Source organism: Homo sapiens, chromosome 10 (genome assembly GCF_000001405.40).
Source record: "Homo sapiens chromosome 10, GRCh38.p14 Primary Assembly".
Classification (NCBI taxonomy): domain Eukaryota; kingdom Metazoa; phylum Chordata; class Mammalia; order Primates; family Hominidae; genus Homo; species Homo sapiens.
Window position 1 is genome coordinate 18,248,385 of NC_000010.11, and position 20,338 is coordinate 18,268,722.

At 40.0% G+C, this 20,338-nt stretch overlaps 1 protein-coding gene and 1 long non-coding RNA gene across 10 annotated transcripts in view; one reads left to right on the top strand and one right to left on the bottom strand.

Moving 5' to 3' along the window:
• CACNB2 (calcium voltage-gated channel auxiliary subunit beta 2) overlaps positions 1-20,338 on the top strand; it is a 403,134-nt gene that overhangs the window by 107,961 nt on the left and 274,835 nt on the right. For 2 of the 9 annotated variants that reach the window (NM_000724.4, NM_001330060.2), the window contains exon 1: positions 12,338-12,933. The exons of the other annotated variants lie outside the window; for them this stretch is intronic. In NM_000724.4, coding sequence (NP_000715.2) covers positions 12,886-12,933 — 48 coding nt within the window. In that variant the 5' untranslated portion in view covers positions 12,338-12,885. Of the gene's footprint in view, positions 1-12,337; positions 12,934-20,338 lie in introns of those variants that run through there. 9 annotated transcript variants of the gene reach the window in all.
• Positions 7,865-13,120, bottom strand: CACNB2-AS2 (CACNB2 antisense RNA 2). The gene is made up of 2 exons (XR_001747681.2): positions 12,782-13,120; positions 7,865-8,936 (listed from the first exon to the last, which is right to left on the bottom strand). It is a non-coding gene; the product is annotated as a CACNB2 antisense RNA 2 (long non-coding RNA).

A 20,338-nucleotide genomic window follows, 5' to 3' on the forward strand; every position in this document is an offset into this window, starting at 1 on the left:
GTAATTGGGCAAATACATTTTTTGAAGTATTTTGTCATAAATCATATGAATCTCCCCAAGTTCTACTATTTCTGATCTTAAATTTGAGAAGAACTTTTTCTGTTGTATCTGTCATTCTTATAGTGTTCTCAACTAAATCCAATAGGAAAAGAAAAATTGAGATTTTCCTCATTCATTTCTTTGTCACTATGTAGCTCATAGCTAATTCAATATTAGGAGAAGTGAGCTTCTTTTAAACATATCTTAAAAGAGAATGTCTATGATCTCATTGGACATATCCAATATCACTCTCTGAGAAGTCTTCCTCTTGTTCTGTCCTGTAATTTTATATCTTTGTAACCAACATCGTTTGATAGCCCATCACCTCCTCTCCTCAGATCCTCATTTCCTTCCTTATCTGAGTTCCCGTGATGGAGACAGACTTTCTCAACTCTCTGTTCCTCTCTCCCTCTGTCTTATTTTCCTGGGAAATGTGACATCAGCCTAAACCTGACTCTCATTCACTCTGCCCTTGAATTTCAGCAGACACACATAGTGGGGGAAAAAGACCACTCTGGGCACTGTTTTACTGGAAGTTCATGACCACAAATATCCACCTGCACTCAATTCTACCTGTTGATTCTGTTTTCCTGGCCAGTCCACTCACCTACTCCTGAGAGGTCTCTTTCACACCTTCCTTGTACTTAAATCTGCAACAGTTTCTCCCATCTCCTCATTCTCGGTTAATGATCTTTCTCCTAATTTCATCTGAGAAAATAGCAACTCTCTAAAAAGACCTTCCCACTACTGCTACCATTAAATCCACCCACTGGTACCCAAATCTTCTGCTTCCTTCCTGCGACAGTGGGTGAACCAACTAAGAGTCTATCTGAGCCAACCACTCTGCTTATGCATGGGGTTCCAGCCCCTTGGCCCAACCAAGGACTTTGCTCCTACAATTATCTGTGATCTCTGTTGAAGTGTCTTTTGTTTTTCCTTTCTTACCTGTAATACCTCCTATTCCAAGAAAAAAAAATGTCTTATTCCTGCATCTCTTTGCAGCTTTGTTTTCATTTTTCTACTCTCTGCTTAAGAAAATCTCCTTGAAAAATGTGTGTCCACCCACTGTATCAAATTGTTCACCTCGCTCTCTTTATTGAACTCATTTCAGACTCTTGACTCTGTCCCCCCAATGACTTCACTTGAGATGCTATCATCAGTGGCCTCTACCTGACCAGATCTGATGGTCAGTTCTCAGTCTTCATCTTACTTGACCTCACCTCTAATGGGCGAGATGCTCCAGGAATCAGTTTTCAGCTCCTCTTTCTTGGGAAATTTCTCAAGGGAATTTCACAAAAGCTTGTGGTTCTCAAGACCATCTATATGCCACCTTCCTAGTTTATTTCTCTACTCACACCTCCCTTCTGGACCCTGGGATTATATATGAAATTGCCTACCTGACTGCTCCACATCGATGTCCTACAGACGTCTCAAAATTAATATCCCTGCAAAAGTATTTTTTGTTTTCTCCTCTGATCCTGCTCCTCCCTAAATATTTTTCTTCTCAGGAAATGGAGCAATCATGTGAATGGTTGCTCAGCCCCATCTCCCCCCTTCCAGCTTCCAACTGGACTCATTCTTGGATTCTTTCTCTCCAATAAGACATCAATCTATAGGTCAATTCTGTCACACTGGACTTCAAAATATATCCAGAATCCTACCACTTCTCAAGGTGTCCTCGCACGAACACTTTAGACCAAGCCCTTCTCTCTTATCTGAACTATTGCAATAGTCTAAAAACTCATCTCTGTGTTTCCTCATTAGCTCTTGGCAGTCTCCACACAGCAGGCAGAATACTACTTCTGAGATATAAATCAAGCTAGGTGTCCTTTTCAAAGTCCTCCAGTGGCTTTCCTCCCAATTAGAAGAAAATGCAGTCCTTGTTGTAACTTTGTGAACCTATATGATCTGGCCACTCAACGGGCTTCATCCATAGGCAACTTCTTACTGTCCTTTCTGTGGGCAAAGTGTGTTCCTGCCTCAGGGCATTTGCCTGGACTTTTCTTCTGCCATGTTGTCTGACTCCTTCACTTTATTCACTTTGTTCTGCTCAAAACTCATCTTTCTAAGAGGTCAAGGAGGTCTGCCTATTGTCAATTTTATCTCTCTCTTTTTTTTTTTTTTGAAAGTTGTCCATTCTAAATGTAGAGGGTGCCTAAGCTAGCAATGACTATGGACGAATGTCTTTTATTTTTGGAAAATTAAATATTTAAGATTTAGGATATCTAGATACTTACGACCACTGTACAGCCTAGTGGTAGAATCAAGACCATCGCAAACTGATTTTGAATGAAACAAGATCCATCTTTGGCTTCCTCCATTTCCGTTTCCCCATCTCTACTTTCTTAAGCCCTCATCCAGTTATCCAATACTGTGCAGGTTTATGCTCCAACTCCCTCCCAGGTCTGCTCTTACTCCTGAAGTGTCCATGCACCAAAGCTACCTACATCATCTTCTCCCCAGTCTCTGGAACTTCTCATTGGTAGTTAGGTGTTGGGAGGAAAAGCCGTTTGCTTTAACTACAGCTGCAAGCTGAGGTGGATGGCCTTCCCTTAAGTGTCTTCATCTTTTATTACTTCCAGCTTTGTTGGTAAATGATATGCATCTGTGTTGAGTAGTCTTAAGGTCATTGCCCTCAAATATTTATCTGAAGCTCATTGATGAGAAACAACACTCAGTGGGATTGTTTAATAGACACAGAATTCATTCAGTGTCTAAAACTCCGGTTGGGAGCTAGATTTTTACAGTTCAGCAAATCTGGGTTCAAATCCTATTTCTGCTGCATATGAATTTTGTAGCCTTAAGCAAGTCTCTCGGCTCTTTTTTTTTTTCTTTTTTTGAGATGGAGTTTCACTCTGTCGCCCAGGCTGGAATGTGATGGCATGATCTCAGCTCACTGCAACCTCCACCTCCTGGGTTCAAGTGATTCTCCTGCCTCAGCCTCCTCCTGAGTAGCTGAGGTCACACACGCCTGCCACAACGCCCAGCCAATTTTTGTATTTTTAGTAGAGATGGGGTTTCACCATGTTGGCCAGGCTGGTCTTGAACTCCTGACCCCAGGTGATCCACCCACCTCGGCCTCCCAAAGTGCTGAGATTACAGGCGTGGGCCACCATGCCCGGCCTCAACTCTTAAGTCTGTTTCCTCATTTGTAACCCACTGTATTAGTCCGTTCTCACACTGCTCTAAAGAACTACCTGAGACTGGGTAACTTATGAAGAAAAGAGGTTTAATTGACTCAGTTCCACAGGCTATACAGGAGGCATGGCTGAGAAGCCATCAGAAAACTTATAATCATGGCAGACAGGTGAAGGGGAAGCAACCACATCTTACCATGGTGGAAAAGGGGACAGAGAGCGCGAAGAGGGAAGTGCTACATGCTTTTAAACCATCAGATCTCGTGAGAACTCACTATCACAAGAAACAGCAAGGGGGAAATCTGCCCCCATGATCCAGTCACCTCCCACCAAGTCCCTCCCCCAACACTGGGTGTTACAATTCAACATGAGACTTGAGTGGGGACACAGAGCCAAACCATATCACCCAGGGATAAAGAGTAATAGTCTTCTTCATAATTGATATGAGGATTAAAGGAATAATGCTCACTGGGTGCCTGTATCAGTAAATAAATGCTAATGTTTTTTGTCATTGTTTTTATTACTATTCTTGGGTCAAGCCAAATCTATAAGGAGTTAATTATCTTATCTAACCTATTGTCCTTTCTCTCTGCCCAGATTATTTTACTGAATGTTGCTATGGTGGGAAACCTTTAGCTTCCCCTGACCGTCAGTCTAAGAAGCAGCTTTTCAGAACCCACTGGGGCATTTACCGGAAGGAATGCTGTTCATAAGTTTACACAATGTTCCTTTTTATGGGGCCTCCAGGAGAAATCGGTGTCTGGTGTTAGTGCCAAACAGAGTCGTTCTTTTGAGCATTTGGTTTATTTTAAGCTTATGGATGGTAAATTACATAACCGACCGAGTTTCACTTTTTGAGTTGGCTGCTCGAAAGCTTACAGCCAGATCTATGGCTCATAGTAAGAAGTACTTCCATTATTATGGGATGCATTTCGAGCCTTGTTTCTGCATTTTGTATTGCCATCTTTGCTTTGCTTTTTTTCTTTTAATCCCTCTTTTATGTTATTTAAGTGTCCTTTTAAAATTTATCCTTGTAAATTGCCTTAAATTATTTCTGAAACAAGGTGAGGAATAGATAGATACATAGCTGTAGGTAGATGAAATATGGTTTTAAATAATTTGTCATAGTGCTTATATTTAAGAGAGGTTTAATTTTTATAAGAAGATACTTGTGGCATAAAATGAATTTTCCAATTGGTAAAATTTCAGACTTTGCAAGAAAGCGCAAGGAAAAAGTATAAGGTGGGAATGTTTTTGCAGAAAGGTGATTTGGGAAACTGCTGGAAGGGGAACCTCTGAAAGGTAGGCAGGTAGGCAGATGATGGCTCGGGTGGAAAAGTGCCTGTTGTATGACTGGATTGGTTAATTAACCATTATGTGATCCTCCAAGGTCAGCTTATAAAATTAATTTTCACCTTTCAAAGAGAAGGTAGGAAGAGGTTTAAAGCCATGGGCTCAGGAGTCAAACATCTGGATAGAAGTTCTAACTCTGCCATTGCCTTGAGCAACTTACTTGACTTCACAGTGCCTCAATCACTTCGTATATGAAATGGAGATGAAGGGCTCATGGAGTTGTCATGAGAATCAGAGGATGAGCTAGTGACGTGTTTAGAATAGTGACTGGAACTTAGCAGGAGTCAGTGAAACTCTTTGTACCTCTTCGCTTGAGTCCCTGGGTTTTTAAAAAGTTGCAAACAGTCCATTTTTTAAATGAATTGCATAGTAAGGTAAGTCAGATACTGGTGGGGCTGAGTACATAGCAATATTTATGACAAGTATGAATTTTAATAAAAATATATGCAGTTCATTAGATACATCATAGAATTCTAAAATCTATCAGGAGTATTTTATGGCAACTTCAGAGAAATGGTATGTTTCTCTTTCGTGGTCTTTCCAAACAAAGAGGAAATCAAAATTGCTGCTGGGAAATATTTTATCCTGTTATCATCCTAGATTTGTTCATGAAATGTTACACTATGAATAGCCTTTCTTGTCTTTTGCCACCAAAAAGCTACCATTTTCTTTCTTATATACATGTTGCATTTTCTTAGATCTACAATGAATGAAATGAACTGGTCAAATGGATTCTCTGAGAGTGTGGAAAATTTAAGACATGAATATGCCTCGCCTTTTCCCCTCTCCTTTCTCACTTCCTCCACTCCCTGTAATAAAGAGAATTTTACTTTTCTCTACTCAGTGCTTCTCCTTCCATCCCCATGTAATAATGTTCTATCATTGCCCCCGACTCTGGAGCATGAAATCTGAAGTTTGGGCGCGAAGACAATTGGCTGAAGATACAAAATAAAAGGAATCAGGTTTTTGTTTCCTGGCTCTTCTTGTTTAGAATCTGAATGATGGGTACAATAGGGCAAATGTAAAGAAAATTTTTAAAAGCCCAGAAACTAAGCAAATTTACATCATACGAAGCTGAGGGATATAGGTTGAGGAAGAGAGAGTCAGGAACTCTGTACGTGGGAGAGTCCATTTTTGATGTTTTTGTTTGTGCTAGAAAGCATAGGTCCTCAAATGGCTTTGGTTATGAGAGAATCAGGGAGGAAAGGAAAAAGGATGTTTGAGAAGTGTTGCTGTGTGGATTATAGGATCCTGTGTTACATTCTTTGAGCTACGCAATTAAAAATTGGCATTTGATTTTCAAGTTTTTGTTGCTACATTGTATTCCTTTAAGTATGACTGGGCTATCAGAGAACTGGGATTTATTAGGGTTACACAATCTTGTTCTCACAATCTTGAATGTAGCAAGTGTAGTCTACCTCAATAACACAAAATATGTTTTAAATTTATCATTGAGGTTTAGTGTGCATTCCATGATTATTAGTAATTTCAAAAGTATGACTTTTTCCCTAATTTCATTGCTTTTAGTTATCTTATTTACTTCTCCTGCTATCTGCGTCTAGGTGGTAAATAAACAAATGTTGCCACTCTCATTACTGAGAAAAAAAAATGATTGATTGTTGGTCTGAAAAACAAAACAAAAACCAAAAAAAATCCCGTACATCAAAAGACAACCCAGACACTTTGGTGAGAAATAAAGGAAAATTAGAGAAAGGTTTTCAGTTCTGTAGAAGCTGGAATGAAATAGAGTGTGCATTTTGGTGGCTAAAGAAGTGGAGTTCAGTGGAAGCTGCAAGCAGCCAGATAGAGATTTTGTTCAGGACCCTAAGGAGAGAAATGAGGACTGGACCAAGAAATAGAAGTACACTGGCACTGACATGAAAACAAAGGTTTATCACAGATCGGATTACTGAAGACTGAACTTCAGAAATGCATGGAAATGTTCAGGAATGAGAGAACACGGGAACGTGTATGTATTACATTGGGTTTCATTTTCTGTTTCTGTCCTTGCACTTACCTACTTGAATTCCCCAATATCTAATAGATTCATTCATTTTCCTTATCTCCCATCTTCAGCTCCTTAGCATGAGAGCATCATCTTTTGCTTGGGTAAAAGTACTTCCTAGCTGATCTCCCTGGCTTCTCTCTAGCCGTCTTCCAATCTGTCTTCAACTGTCCTGCCAAAGTGGATTTTAAATGGCACAAATCTGATCATGCCTCTTGTGGGAAAGAAATCCCACTGCTCTTAGTAGAAAGAGAAAAGATCCCCAGCGTGGCCCTCATGATCTTGCCTGATAATCACCTGCCTCTCTAACCTCATCTTCTCCTCCCTCTCTTACTTTATTCTCCAACTGCTTAAGCTGGGCCTTCTCCCTTCTACCACGTAGAGCTTCCCTCTCCCTGCCTTTAGTGAACTCCTTCCCACCCTTGAGCCTCAGCTCAGGTAGCAGTGCCCCAGAGACACCTTTTCTGACCCTTCTAATTCTCGAAGATGTCAACCCCCTCTACATTCTCATAGTATTCTGTACATTCATGCAAAGATCTTATTAGCTTGTAATTCTATGCTTATGTGATTATTTGATTCAAATTGCCTTGCCCCCTGGACTTTAAGCTCCTTGAAGGCAAGGACATTGGTTGTTTTACTTGTCGTTTTCCTACTGGTGCCCAGCAGAGACACGCACTTGATGAGCAGCACTCAGTTGATATTGTTGACTGAATGGATGGATAGAGACAGTTGGTCCTTTTTTTGTTTTTACTGAAATTAGCAAGAGTTTTTGGTCAACTTAAGCACCCTAGGCTCTTCATAGTTGCAGACGTACTGTGAAGGGAGAGTCTAATGAGTATTTAAGCAGGTGTCTGTCAGAAGACGGACCCTTCTTTCCTAAAATCGCAGCCACAGAAAAGCCAGAAGCACTTAAGCAGAGTCAATTCTGACAAAAAACCTTCAGTTCTGCTACAGAAGGCTTCTTTAGGTCTTTCATTTCTTATTATGAAAGAGTTCTCTTCTTGAAGGAAGCACTTCATCTGATGTTTAACTCTGACTGTGTTCTTGCCACTCCTAACTAATAGTAACATAGAAAGTGAATAGTAAAGAAACATTAATCCTCATACTTTCAAAAGACTGGCCAGGAATAAATCCCTTGGATTTAAAAACATATATCTTCCATCGATATTATCTACATTTACCTTTGATTACTTTTAATTTGTTGATTTTTGTCATTGAGCCTCTTCTTAACGCTTTTCAATATTTTGCTTTTAAGATATCTCGTATTATAACAAAATAGCTAATTTAGCAATTCATTAGGTTTGTAATTTAGCTACATGAGCCAAGCAGCTAGTTTTTGTTGACTTTATTTGATTATTTAGTAAATGAACAGTTATCACAGACAAGTATACAAGCTCAAAAGCTTTCAATTTCTTGCTGAAGTTGAACTATTGACCAGGTTATTTTTAGACTCAACAGTCTGGAATTTTTTTTCTACTTCTTAATAAAACAACAGATATTTTCACATTTAAAAGTTTCAGTAATTCTGCATGTACTGCCAGTTCAATTCTAAACTCTTTGCTGTGTCTAAACTCTTTTGCTGGGACCCAGGTAGTCCCAGCCTGAGTTCCTGATTCTCGTCTCCATTCTTGCCTTTTCTTTTTTCCCTCTTCCACTCCCCCGCCTCCTCCACAGGCTTGGATCTGTGAATTCATCATTCATTCCAGAAACACTTTGAGGTGCTTTTAAAATCCATGTTTAGGCCGGGCATGGTGGCTCAGGCCTCTAATCCCAGCACTTTGAGAGGCCAAGGTGGGTAGATTGCACGAGCTCAGGAGTTCAAGACCAGCCTGGGAAACATGGCAAAACCCCATCTCTACAAAAAAATACAAAAATTAGCTGCGCATGTTGGCACATACCTGTAGTCCCAACTACTACTTGGGAGGCTGAGGTGGGAGGATCACTGTGAGCCTAGGAGGTTGAGGCTATAGTGAGCTGAGACTGCACCACTGCACTCCAGCCTGGGTAACAGACACAGACCCTGTCTCAAAAATTAATAATAATAACAATAGTAATAATAGTACAAGTTTAGCATCTATAATTGGAATCAGAGCAAAAGTGCCAATATAGGAGTTAATGTCTCTTTCTTGGTGTAGTCCAAACGTAAACACTATTGGGCCAATATGGCAGCTCCCCTGTCCTAGGGACTTGGGTCTGTCTTGTCGCTCTCTTCTCCTGAATGTGCAGCTTTCTTCTCATTATAAATGGCTGTCCCAGCTCTCAGCAGTGACACATGACTTGGGTATTGGCACATACCATTTCTACATCTGCCCATTGACCAGAATCTAGTCCCGTGGCCATCCAAGTTGCAGGAGAAGCTGGGACATTCATCTTAGCCCAGCAGCCGATGTCTGTCTCTATTACTGTAAATGAAGTAAAGAATGGATCAGGAGGGGACAACTATGAATCTTTGTGATACCTACTATGTTTCAGTCACTGTGCTAAGTGCTAGGGATATAGAGATAAGTAAAGACTGAATCTGGTGGAGAACTGAGTTTAGAATGAGGACTTGGGGTAGATCCCTGTTGTCTGAAGATACCCTTCTTCGTATACACTATAGAAACACAATTTGTTCTGTGTATGTTCTGTATGTAACCTTCTGTGCTTTTGCATCTTCTGCCCATTGCCTGGGATCCTTTCTCCCTCGCACTTTCCACTGAATGCAATTCCGTCCATTCTGCAAGGCCAGCCCAAGTGTCCTCATCTTTGTGAAGGCTCTATTTTTCCTTCCAGGGATGGTTAGGAGTTGTTCCCTTGGCGTTCCCATTGCTCTGAAACACTGTGTTCTCTTTCCTCTGTTTTTTGAGATGGAGTTTCCGTCTGTCACCCAGGCTGGAGTGCAGTGGCATGATCTCGGCTCACTGCAACCTCTGCCTCTCAGGTTCAAGCAATTCTCCTTCCTCAGCCTCCCGAGTAGCTGGGATTACAGACATGTGCCACCCTGCCCAGCAGATTTTTGTATTTTTAGTAGAGACGAGGTTTCGTCATGTTGGTCAGGCTGGTCTCAAACTTCTGACCTCAGGTGATCTGCCCACCTGGGCCTCCCAAAGTGCTGGGATTATAGGCGTGAGCCACCCCGCCCAGCCTCCTCAGTTCTTATACGTGCCTAGAGGAATACATGGATTGTATTTTATTCATTTCATATCCCCAGCACCTTAGCACAGCACTGAGCAAACAGAAGGTGCTCTATAAATGTTTGCCGAATCAAATTAGTTAGTGCTTGGAATCCTTTTGTGGATTCTTGAATGACAAGGTGGGTGGAATATCTAATGAATGGGGGAATCTCTCTCATATTGTGTATAAAAATATCATAGTTAATAAAATGTTAAGTGAATTCCAAATCAAATTCAGAATCATAGAGGGGATAGATCATTTCCCCAGTGTTTTCATCTTATTCTAACTTTAAGCTAAATTTTTATTCTTTATTCAGTTATTCTAGTAAAAATGTGGTGATAGAGGTGATGAAGGGGCCTTAAGAAAAAACTTGAGGCCGGGCACGGTGGCTCACGCCTGTAATCCCAGCACTTTGGGAGGCCGAGGCGGGCGGATCACGAGGACTGGAGTTTAAGACCAGACTTCCTACCGTGGTGAAACCCCATCTCTACTAAAAATACAAAAATTTAGCCAGGCTGGTAGCGGGCACCTGTAATCCCAGCTACTCAGGAGCCTGAGGAAGGAGAATCACTTGAACCCAGGAGGTGGAGGTTGCAGTGAGCTGAGATCATGCCACTGCACTCGAGCCTGGGTGACAAGAGCGAAACTCTGTGTCAAAAACAAACAAACAAGCAAACAAAAAACAAAAAAAAACTTGAATTTGAATTATGTGTTCTTTTATATTACTTAGTGTTCCTCTCACTGAAGTTTCTTTAAAAAATCAAATTGAAGTCCTACCTACTTGGAATATATCATGTATGGTTCAGAAAATGGTGAGGGATTTTTTTTTTTTTCCAGGATGTACTTCAAGAGCCAATTTACAGTGTAATTCAGAAATTTTGTTTTACTCTAGGTTTCTGATTTAATCACTAAAGTGTCCTTATTTTCTGTCTATAGACTATGTTATTTTCCTTTTGGACCTTCAAATCCACAAAGGTTTAACTAGTATATGATAGGACCATAGAATTTTCACAGACTATGTAGATTATATAAGTTTCAGAGTTTAAATTATGCTATTGCTTATATTACTGATAAACAAAACATGGAATCATTTTGGGACCCAGTTTGTCAGTTAAATAAGGAGATTAAGGCAGAATTTTTTTGTCACCTCTATCAACCTCTTAGACTATTAATAATAATATAAAAGTGTTGCTTTAAATCATAGACTTTAAAGGCCAGGCATGGTGACTCACACTTGTAATCCTAGCACTTTGGGAGGCTGGGGCAGGAGAATGGCCTGGAGCCAGGAGTTTGAGACCAGCCTGGGCAACAAAGTGAGACCCCTGTCTCTATAAAAAAATTTTTAAAATTAGGCTGGGCACTGTGGCTTACACCTGTAATCTCAACACTTTGGGAGGCCAAGCTTGGCAGATCACTTGAGTCCAAGAGTTCAAGACCAGCCTGGCCAACATGGTGAAACTCCATCTCTACTGAAAAAAAAACAAAAAACAAACAAAAAAAAAAAGTAAAAGTAGCCAGGCATGGTGGTGCACACCTGTAGTCCCAGCTACTCAGGAGTCTGAGGCAGGAGAATTGCTTGAGCCCTGGAGGTGGAGGTTGCAGTGAGCTGAGGTTGTGCCACTGCACTCCAGTCTGGGTGACAGAGTGAGACTCTGTCTCAGAAAAAAAAAAAAAAAAAAAAATTAAGCAGGTGTGGTGGCATGCACCTACAATTCTAGCTACTTGGGAGTCGGAGGTGGGAGGACTGCCTGAGCAAGGCAATCAAGAGTTCAAGGCTGCAGTGAGCCATGATTGCACCACTGCACTTCAGCTTGGGCAGTAGAGTAAGACCCTATCTCAAAAAAGCCTTGAGAAAATACTGGTAAAGTGTTGAGAATTAATTGTCTTTTATTTTTCCAGGAGCCTAAAGGATGTAGTGGTGGTTAATCTGTGACATGAAATCATTAACATACCTTCTTAGGTCTCAACAGAATATGGAATGACTTGGGCATGGGTGCAAATTTGGATCAATATCTGTGACACACTAAAGATATTGCGTATTAGAATGGCTGATATCATACCAATGAACAGCTGAATCTCCACATGTCTTAATGATTCATCTTTTTAGGTGTGACATTTACATGGTCTTTAGGGAGAATATTAGGATCAGCTCAGTCCCTGAAAACTGGGTCTTTAGGGAAAGATCTAAATAATAGCTTACAAAGAATATTGACTTGGGAGCTCTCACACTTGGAAGGCAGCCTTATGTAGTTTATTATATCTAAATCATAGGTGGTATGAGATCTAATGAATTAATGAGGTCTGAGTCGGATCAAATTCGCCTTCCAGAGTTATGTTTATTTAACATGCTTTAACCCAGAAAATGAACATTTGCCAGCGAGCACCAAACAACTGTGCGCCGCAGTGCTTGAGCGAGTCAGGTCCTGAGGCCACTCTGGCGATCCTCCTTACAATTCATGTGAAATACCTACTGCAGGACAAAGCATCTGACGGTTTGGAGGATGTTTCTGTAGTCCTAGGAATCCACAGTGAATTCGAGTCTAGACTCAGTCATTTTTCAGGGTCAGGGGAGGAGGGAGAAGTAGCAAATCAGATATGCCCAAAACGTTACAGAGGTAACAGTGAATCCAGGATGCTGCTGTCAGCCTGTGCATTGTGAAGAAGGCAATCATAGGCGAGCAGCCGCGGGAGCAGGAACAGCAGCGTGCTAAGAAGCAGTCACATAAACAGCAGCAGGAGTAGGCCTCCTGCTTTTCAAAAGCAGAGTACTGCAGGGTCGCGAAATGCAAGACACTCAGATGTTTGAAAATCTCCCGAGTTGAGAATGGCTACTGTAAAAGCGTCACCAAGAAACTCTGACGATCTGGACAGTCCTAACTCTGTGTTAGCAATACTTACTTCCGGAAAATTAATGCTACTTCTTGTAGATTTTTGCAAATAGGAAACCCCCTTGAAGAAGATCTCAAATTACGCCCCCCACCCCCAAAAAAAGACAAACAGGGGAGAACAAAGTTTTGGCATGCCTGCAGGAACGGTGGCTTTTTTAGAAACTACCTAGGAGGCAGAAGCTAAGTGATTTGCTCATGCCTCTTACCTGGGAGTAGAAGGTGGGAAGAAATGGACCGAGGCTGTGACGAGAAGACAAGGCACAGTGCAGCTTGGTGAAGCCACACGCTGACTGCGTTCTGCCCCCTCTTCATGCAGTGCTGCGGGCTGGTGCATCGCCGGCGAGTACGGGTGTCCTATGTAAGTTTCTATTGCTGTAGAATTGCAGCTGGGAGCTGAAAATACTATTCGTGTCTGTCTGGTGCATGTTGCCTCTTTCAGCTGTTTTTATTCCCTGTGCTGAACCAACCAGACAGTCGATCATTTCGTACCATGAGTTTTCAAGGAATCTGAGGTATAGGAGATTCTGAGATATTTATTTTTTCCCAGAGATGTTTTTATCTGTCTTTTGTGCCTTGTGACTTTGATAAGGTTGGAAATAACTTGCGCGGGGATTGGTTTGAGAAGTCCATTGTCTCAGAGATCTGCCTCATTCAAACCAGTTGATACTCTCTTTTACCTAGAGTAGTCCTGTTTTCATATTTGAATGATGGGATGGTGGGGGGAAGAAATACCACGGAGTTTGACAAATTATAGATAGGCGCAGAGGCTAACACTAAATCCTATTTTGAGCAGCTTCAGAAAAATAGTAGATAATAATCACTGGATGGATGACACAGCTGTTGCAACAGCTTTATCATCCTGTGACTCTTTCACTGAAATAGCCCTTATTTCATGGCCCTGCTGTGTTTTGCAAAATGGCTGTCTGAGTATTAAATTCTACAAGGCAGGCTCACACAAATATTGAAGTGTATCACTACTTAACATGATTGGATGCTAATTGCAATATGCTGTGCCTTACACTAGCCGACCAGCTCCGAGCAAGCGCTGGCTTGATTTTCATACTCCTTTTGCGAGCAGCTACTCTATTTTCAGGAAGGGTTGTAAAAGGGAACAGGAGGTTTATGCAGGCTGGGCAAACTGCAGTGCTGAATTGCTTAACACTGGTTTGACATTCCTGACTGCAAAACAAATAGAAAATTGACAAAGCAAGCTAATCAATACTTAAAGTATTGAAGGTAAAGAAACCCGTGACCTTGGAAAATTGGCCACAGAAAAGAGATATATGTGAGACTTACAGGACAAACAAGGTCAAAATCTGATATGATCTCAATAATAAAGTTGGAAATGGTGACGGGGTGGGGTGGGAGGGCAGGGAGAGATAACTATACTGTCAAACCTTAAAGAGAGTATTCAATTTTATTAAATAAGTAAAAGCATGAAAAACCCCTTTTATTTAAAGGTTTTTGCAGTTGTTACATATTTGGTGCCATTTGTCTTTTGAATGCAACAGTTGACATATCAGAAATCAATGGAGGAGTCAGGTAGCCAGCCAAGATTTCTAAAGACGACATCTGCAGGGATAGATGGTTTTTATCCAGTCAAAAAATTAATTGCTTTTTAAATAAGATTTGGGAATAAGTGTTACAAACTTTTTAGAGTATAAGATTAGCCGCCTAAAGAAAACCTTAAGTTAAAAACAAAAATAATTTTAATTTAAAAATCCATAGTTTCTAGAATAGTGAAGAGTGAGAATTTCTTAGCTTTCTGTGTTTCTGTTTATTCTTGTATAATGAATTAGAAGAAATCCATGGTTATGTGTGCCTATTGAATACAAAAATTCTGAAATAAGGCCTCCAACAAAGCAACAAATTTTTACCCTACTTATTTTAGTTCTTCTTCTTACATTGAACATGTAAATAAATAGAAAGAAGAGACAACATAATCTGGATTTTTGAAGTCTTGATTGAAAGCTACAGAGACTTGGTTCATCTGCTCATTCTCAAATATTTTTACCCTGTATTTTGAATAAAGTACCACAAAATATAGAGCACAGATGTCTTTTAAAGATAAAAGAAATGCATACCCTTGGTCACTAGAAATAAATTTTCGTTTACTTTAGAGTGTTTTTCTCTTGGGAAGCCTTACCTCTAACCCACCTGCTGCTGTTTTAACCTCTCTTCTTTGACACTTTATGGATTGCAGTTTTCTTTACAGATGGCCAACCCAGAGTGGAAGATAGGTTAAATCGAAACCTATTTTTTTCCTTGAAGGAAAAGAACCCACTGTGCATCTATCTGTAACGGAGACTTTAGATTTGACCGCAAAGCAGATGAGTCTAGAGGCTGCTCATTGAATACAAAGGGCAGCCAGACCCCTATGTGGTACTGGTGGTTAGGACCTCGTCATACTGGTTGGGCTGTCCTGGTGTCCTTTCTCAAATCTGTTGTCAGTTTCCAGGAATCACAATTCTGGTAATACTGGAACTAAATGTCAATATTTATATACATACATGTATGCATATATCTGTTAGATCTAATTACATAAATAATATATTTTAGATGTAATATAAATCAATTGATAAATATGCACCTGTGTGTGCATGTGTCTTAATCTTTCACTAGTTCTTATACCTTTTCTTTTTAGTATGACAGCTTTCTTAAGAATTCCTCCTACTCAAACATTGTCTCTCAGAAAGAATATGAAAGTTATGTGGGTTTCAAAGAAAGTTATACTCATATGCCATAGTTCTTTATTTCTAGGTTTTTACCTTTCTAAGCTGTTGCTTTTATTAGGTTGCCTCCGCTCACTTGTTTAACGTTACATTCAGATTCAAAACTTCTCTGAGCAGTGGGCTCACAGAAGTAGGCTGCAGACTGTAGTCCTGTCTTGCTCTTTAAGACTCAATGCATAAGCTTTATTCTTGACATTATTATTGATGTTCAATATCTAGTCTTCATTCTTTTGTTTACTCCTAACCATCATTCTTTTAGAACTCAGCTTCGCAGCTCAGAAGTAATTCCTGTGTTTACCTAAACTGTCTTGCTATTTCGTTAAGGACATGAAAATCTGTGAGCTGAATAAATACTCTTAAATTTAAAAGGATATATAAACATGGTAAGCTCTGTGTGCATTTCTGTGAAACACTTCTCAAGTATTGACATTTGCATGCTTTGGAGAGCAGAGACACTAACTCTTTTTGGTAAGCTTTTTGAAAAAATGTTTTAATTTTTGTGGGTACATAATAGGTGTATATATTTATGGGGTACATAAGATGCTTGGATACAGGTATGCAATGCATAATAATCTCATCATGGAAAATTGGGTATCCATCCCATCAAGCATTTATCCTTTGTGTCACAAACAATCCAATTATACCCTTTTAGTTATTTTAAAATGTACTATTATCGAAGTATAACATACATGCAGAAAAGTGGGTGCAGAAATTATATAAGCATTGAGCTTGAAGAATGTTCTCAAAGCAAACATGCCTTTGTAACCAACACTCAAATCAAGAAACCAAGCATTGTGAGCAACCTTCTCCTCCCTTCCAATTCCAGCTGTCTCCCACCTCCCCCAGGGTACCCACTAAACAGACTTCTAACATGGTGGATTGGTTTTTCCTGTTTCTGAATTTTATTCAAATGAACTCAAACAGCATGTACTCTCCTCTCATCCAGCTTGTGTTGCTCACCATTGTATTCATGATATTAACCCACGTGGCTGCACATAGTTAAAGCTGCAATTTCTCGTGCTCACGGTTGTACAGTATTCCATTGTGTGGCTCTGTGATGACTTAGTGATCCATGCTACTGTTGATGGGCATTTGGGTAGTTTCCAGTTTGGGGCTATCATAAATAGTGCTGTTATAAACAGTTGGGACATGCCATATTGTGAATGTTTATGTATGCATTTCTCTTGGATGCAAACCAAGGAATGAAACTGCCAAGTCATAGGGTACAGTATAAATACATTGTGCTTAAGTAGATGCTGGTCAGCAGCTTTCTGAAACATCGGGTCAATGTTCACTCCCACCTGTGTGCCTCCCCCCTACACCTAGTATTGTCATTTGCATTTTAGCGTGTCTGATGAGTATGTCAGAGTATCCCATTATGGCTTTGCTGTGCATTTCCCTGATAACTAATGAAGTCAAGCATGTTTTCATATATTTATTGACCATTTGGCCATCTTCTTTTTTTTTTTTTTTTTTTGAGATGGAGTCTCACTCTGTTGCCCAGGCTGAAGCGTAGTGGCACAATCTCAGCTCTCTGCAACCTCCACCTCCCGCATTCAAGCCTCAGCCTCCTGACTACAAGTGCCCGCCAATTTCACGCCCAGCTAATTTTTGTATTTTTGGTAGAGACGGGGTTTCACCATATTGGCCAGGCTGGTCTTGAAATCCTGCCCTTGTGATCCGCCCACCTCAGCTTCCCAAAGGGCTGGGATTACAGGTGTGAGCCACCACACCCGGCCATTTAGCCATCTTCTTTTGTGAAGTACCTGTTCAAGTATCTTGCTTCTTTTTGTCTTAGGTTATCTGTCTTTTCAGGCATTTTCCTTCAGAAAAGAACTGGCAAGGAGAAAAGCATCTGGTGATTAGCATAACAAAATCATTAAAGACAAATGTTACTGACAGAGATATATACAAATGGAATCAGACTTAGCCTGGGTTTGAATTTTGATATAATCATTTACTTACCGTGTGATAGTGGGGTTCTTTTCTTTCTTTGAGTCTCGGTTTTCTCACCCATATAATCAGGATAATAGTAAAATTTCAAAAGTTTATTGTGAGAGTTAAGATGAAATAATGTTTGTGTGCACTTACTTCTGGCCTGATACGTAGTTGTTTTTGAAAAATGAGTAGTTATTGTGATAGGAGATCATGAAGCAGGGGAGTTTGCTGTCTACTTGGTTGCTGCCTGTGTTAGTTGCTAACTACTAATAGTCTTGAAAAGCTTTTATTAATAAATGACTAGATACTGGAAGGTAATGTAGTCCACATGTTAGTAATCTCTTATAAGATCCACACTTTCCATAGTGTGTGATCACCTTTGAGCTTTTAGAGCATTTAAATGTCACCAAATGATATTGCATTTGTATATATACCGTAACTTAAGCAATTCGGTACTCTAGTTAAATTCTGATTGTTCCAACGCACATTTACATAGTTCTTCAAAGTTTACAAAATGCTTTTATGCCCACTATTTCATTTGACATTAAAGCAGTCACTAGGGATAGGCAAAGGAAGTGATGATGTCTTCATTTTATAGATGAGAAAATTTCAAACCAGGGAAGTAAACTGTACTGCCAAAGGCCACAGAGTCTGAGGATGGTCAAACTGAGATTCAAGCTGAAATTGACTCTTATTCCATGTATAGTGCTTTGGTCATCTTGTTTGGAATGTCTTTCCAAGTTTAAATAATGGGATTATAATTAAATTTAATTAACATGAAAATGTTGTAGTGCTTTTGGGTATAAAAATCAATTATCACTGGGCTAGAGAAGTGCTGAAGTGCCTGTTCACAGAGATTTCTGGTTAGTAGAATGTAGGTAGTATAGTTTTTTTTTTTTAATTGTGGTTGTTCACTCACAATTCATACTTTTTACAAGTGATCAGAATTGTCCCGACAGTTAAAATAAGTGTGAGCGGGCCGGGCACGGTGGCTCACGCCTGTAATCTCAGCACTTTGCTAGGCCGAGATGAGCAGATAACTTGAGGTCAGGAGTTCAGGACCAGCCTGGACAACAGGGTGAAACCTCGTCTCTACTAAAAATACAAGAACTTAGCCGTGCGTGGTGGTGCATGCCTGTAATCCCAGCTACTCGGGAGGCTGAGGCGGGAGAATCACTGGAACCCCAGAGGTGGAGGCTGCAGTGAGCCGAGATCGTGCCACTGCACTCCAGCCTGGGAGACAGACGAGACTCTATCTCTAAATAAATAAATAAGTATGAGCTATACACTTATATATGCCTTGGGAAATATATTTGCACAGTAAATGATTTTTAAAGGCATGTGTGTATGTATGTGTGTATATATACTATGTGTGTGTGTGTATATATGTGTGTGTGTGTGTATGTATATATATCTGTCTCCTTAAATCACTCAGAGCTTTTCCAGATAATGTCTTAAGATGTCCTTTAAGGGTGATATTTGGCTTTTAAGACCTCTGTATCTTTGAATGTCAAGTTCATATATGTATTTTCGTAAGAAATTGATAACTTCATATTTGGAACTGCATTTTTTTTTTATTAATAATAGCTTTTAATATTGGCCATGTTAAAATCCTTAATTTTTTTCAGAACTTTAAATTTGGCTTTAATTATAAACCTCACTACATAATGACATTTTATTAAAATTAAATAAGGGGCTGGGTGTGGTGGCTCGCTCCTGTAATCCCAACACTTTGGGAAGCCAAGGTGGGCAGATCACTTGAGGTCGGGATTTCAAGACCAGCCTGGCCAACATGGTGAAACCCCATCTCTACTAAACATACAGAAATTAGCCAGGTGTGGTGGCGGGCACCTGTAATCCCAGTTACTCAGGAGGCTGAGGCATGAGAATCACTTGAACCCAGGAGGTGGAGGTTGCAGTGAACTGAGATCACACCACTGCACTCCAGCCTGGGTGACAGAGTGAGACTCCATCTCAAAAAAGAAAACAAAAAAATAAAAAGGGAAATGAGGTAAACTTTCATATAAACATTAAGAAGCACAGAGGCGGGAAAATGAAATTAAGTTGGTGGTTGGCAACCTCTGGGCATGTGTAGAGAATGAGCTTGTTGGTGCATGTTCAGGGTCATGGGACCCTCTGGTTGCCTTAGCATCTCCCAGCACAGCCCCAGTTAACACCTATCACTTTTTCTTCCCATTGGAGAGGCAGTTTCATGTGTGAATGACACTTCCGGGGCAGCGGCCCAGCCTTTGCACACCAGAGAAGCTCCTGCAAGTTACTTCATCACTCTGTGCCTCAACTTGCCTTTCTATGAAACAAGAATAATAAGAGTCTTACTCTTAAGTTTTCTATGATTATTAAATGTGTTAAACTATGAAAACACTTGGCACGGAGTAAGTACTCAAGTAAATGTGAACTGTTTCAATTGTGATTATTCCCACCTCCCTCTGCATCTGAGTACAACTTCTCCAGTGCTGAAAAAGAGCAGTCCCTTTTAGAAGGATGCCTTCATTGTTTTAAAGAAAGCTCTTGTAAAGCGTATTGAATTATGTAGGAATGTAGTGGTCATCATCTAACTGTTCATTCATGAAGCAATTACTGAGTCCCTGCTCTTTGCCCAAGGCTATTCTGAAAGTTAGAAATGTACAGAGGAATTGAACCTTTCATCTCTGTTCTCAGAAAAGTCTAGTCTAGCAGTGGAAATATATGAGTTTCCGGAACATTAAAATGTGTTTGACATAACAGGATTATCTGACAATAGGAATAAATAAATGGTATACCACCTATAGTAGGAAATAGCATATAGACATTAAAGAGAAAAGGCTAGATTTGTATAGACTTACGTAGAAGGAGGTTTATATTCTGAGAATACGTTATATAAAAATTAAGACGTAGAGCAATGTATATAGTATGATTGCATTTATTCTACATGTGTTTGCATTTATATTGGTGTTTGCATGAGTAGAGGTCTAAAAGACTTTACCAGTATACGAACAGCACATGAAAATGAGATTATAGAGGAACAGGCAGGATTTTACCTTTTACATCATTAAGTATGTTGCAATAAGTATGTTTTAATTTAATAATACATAT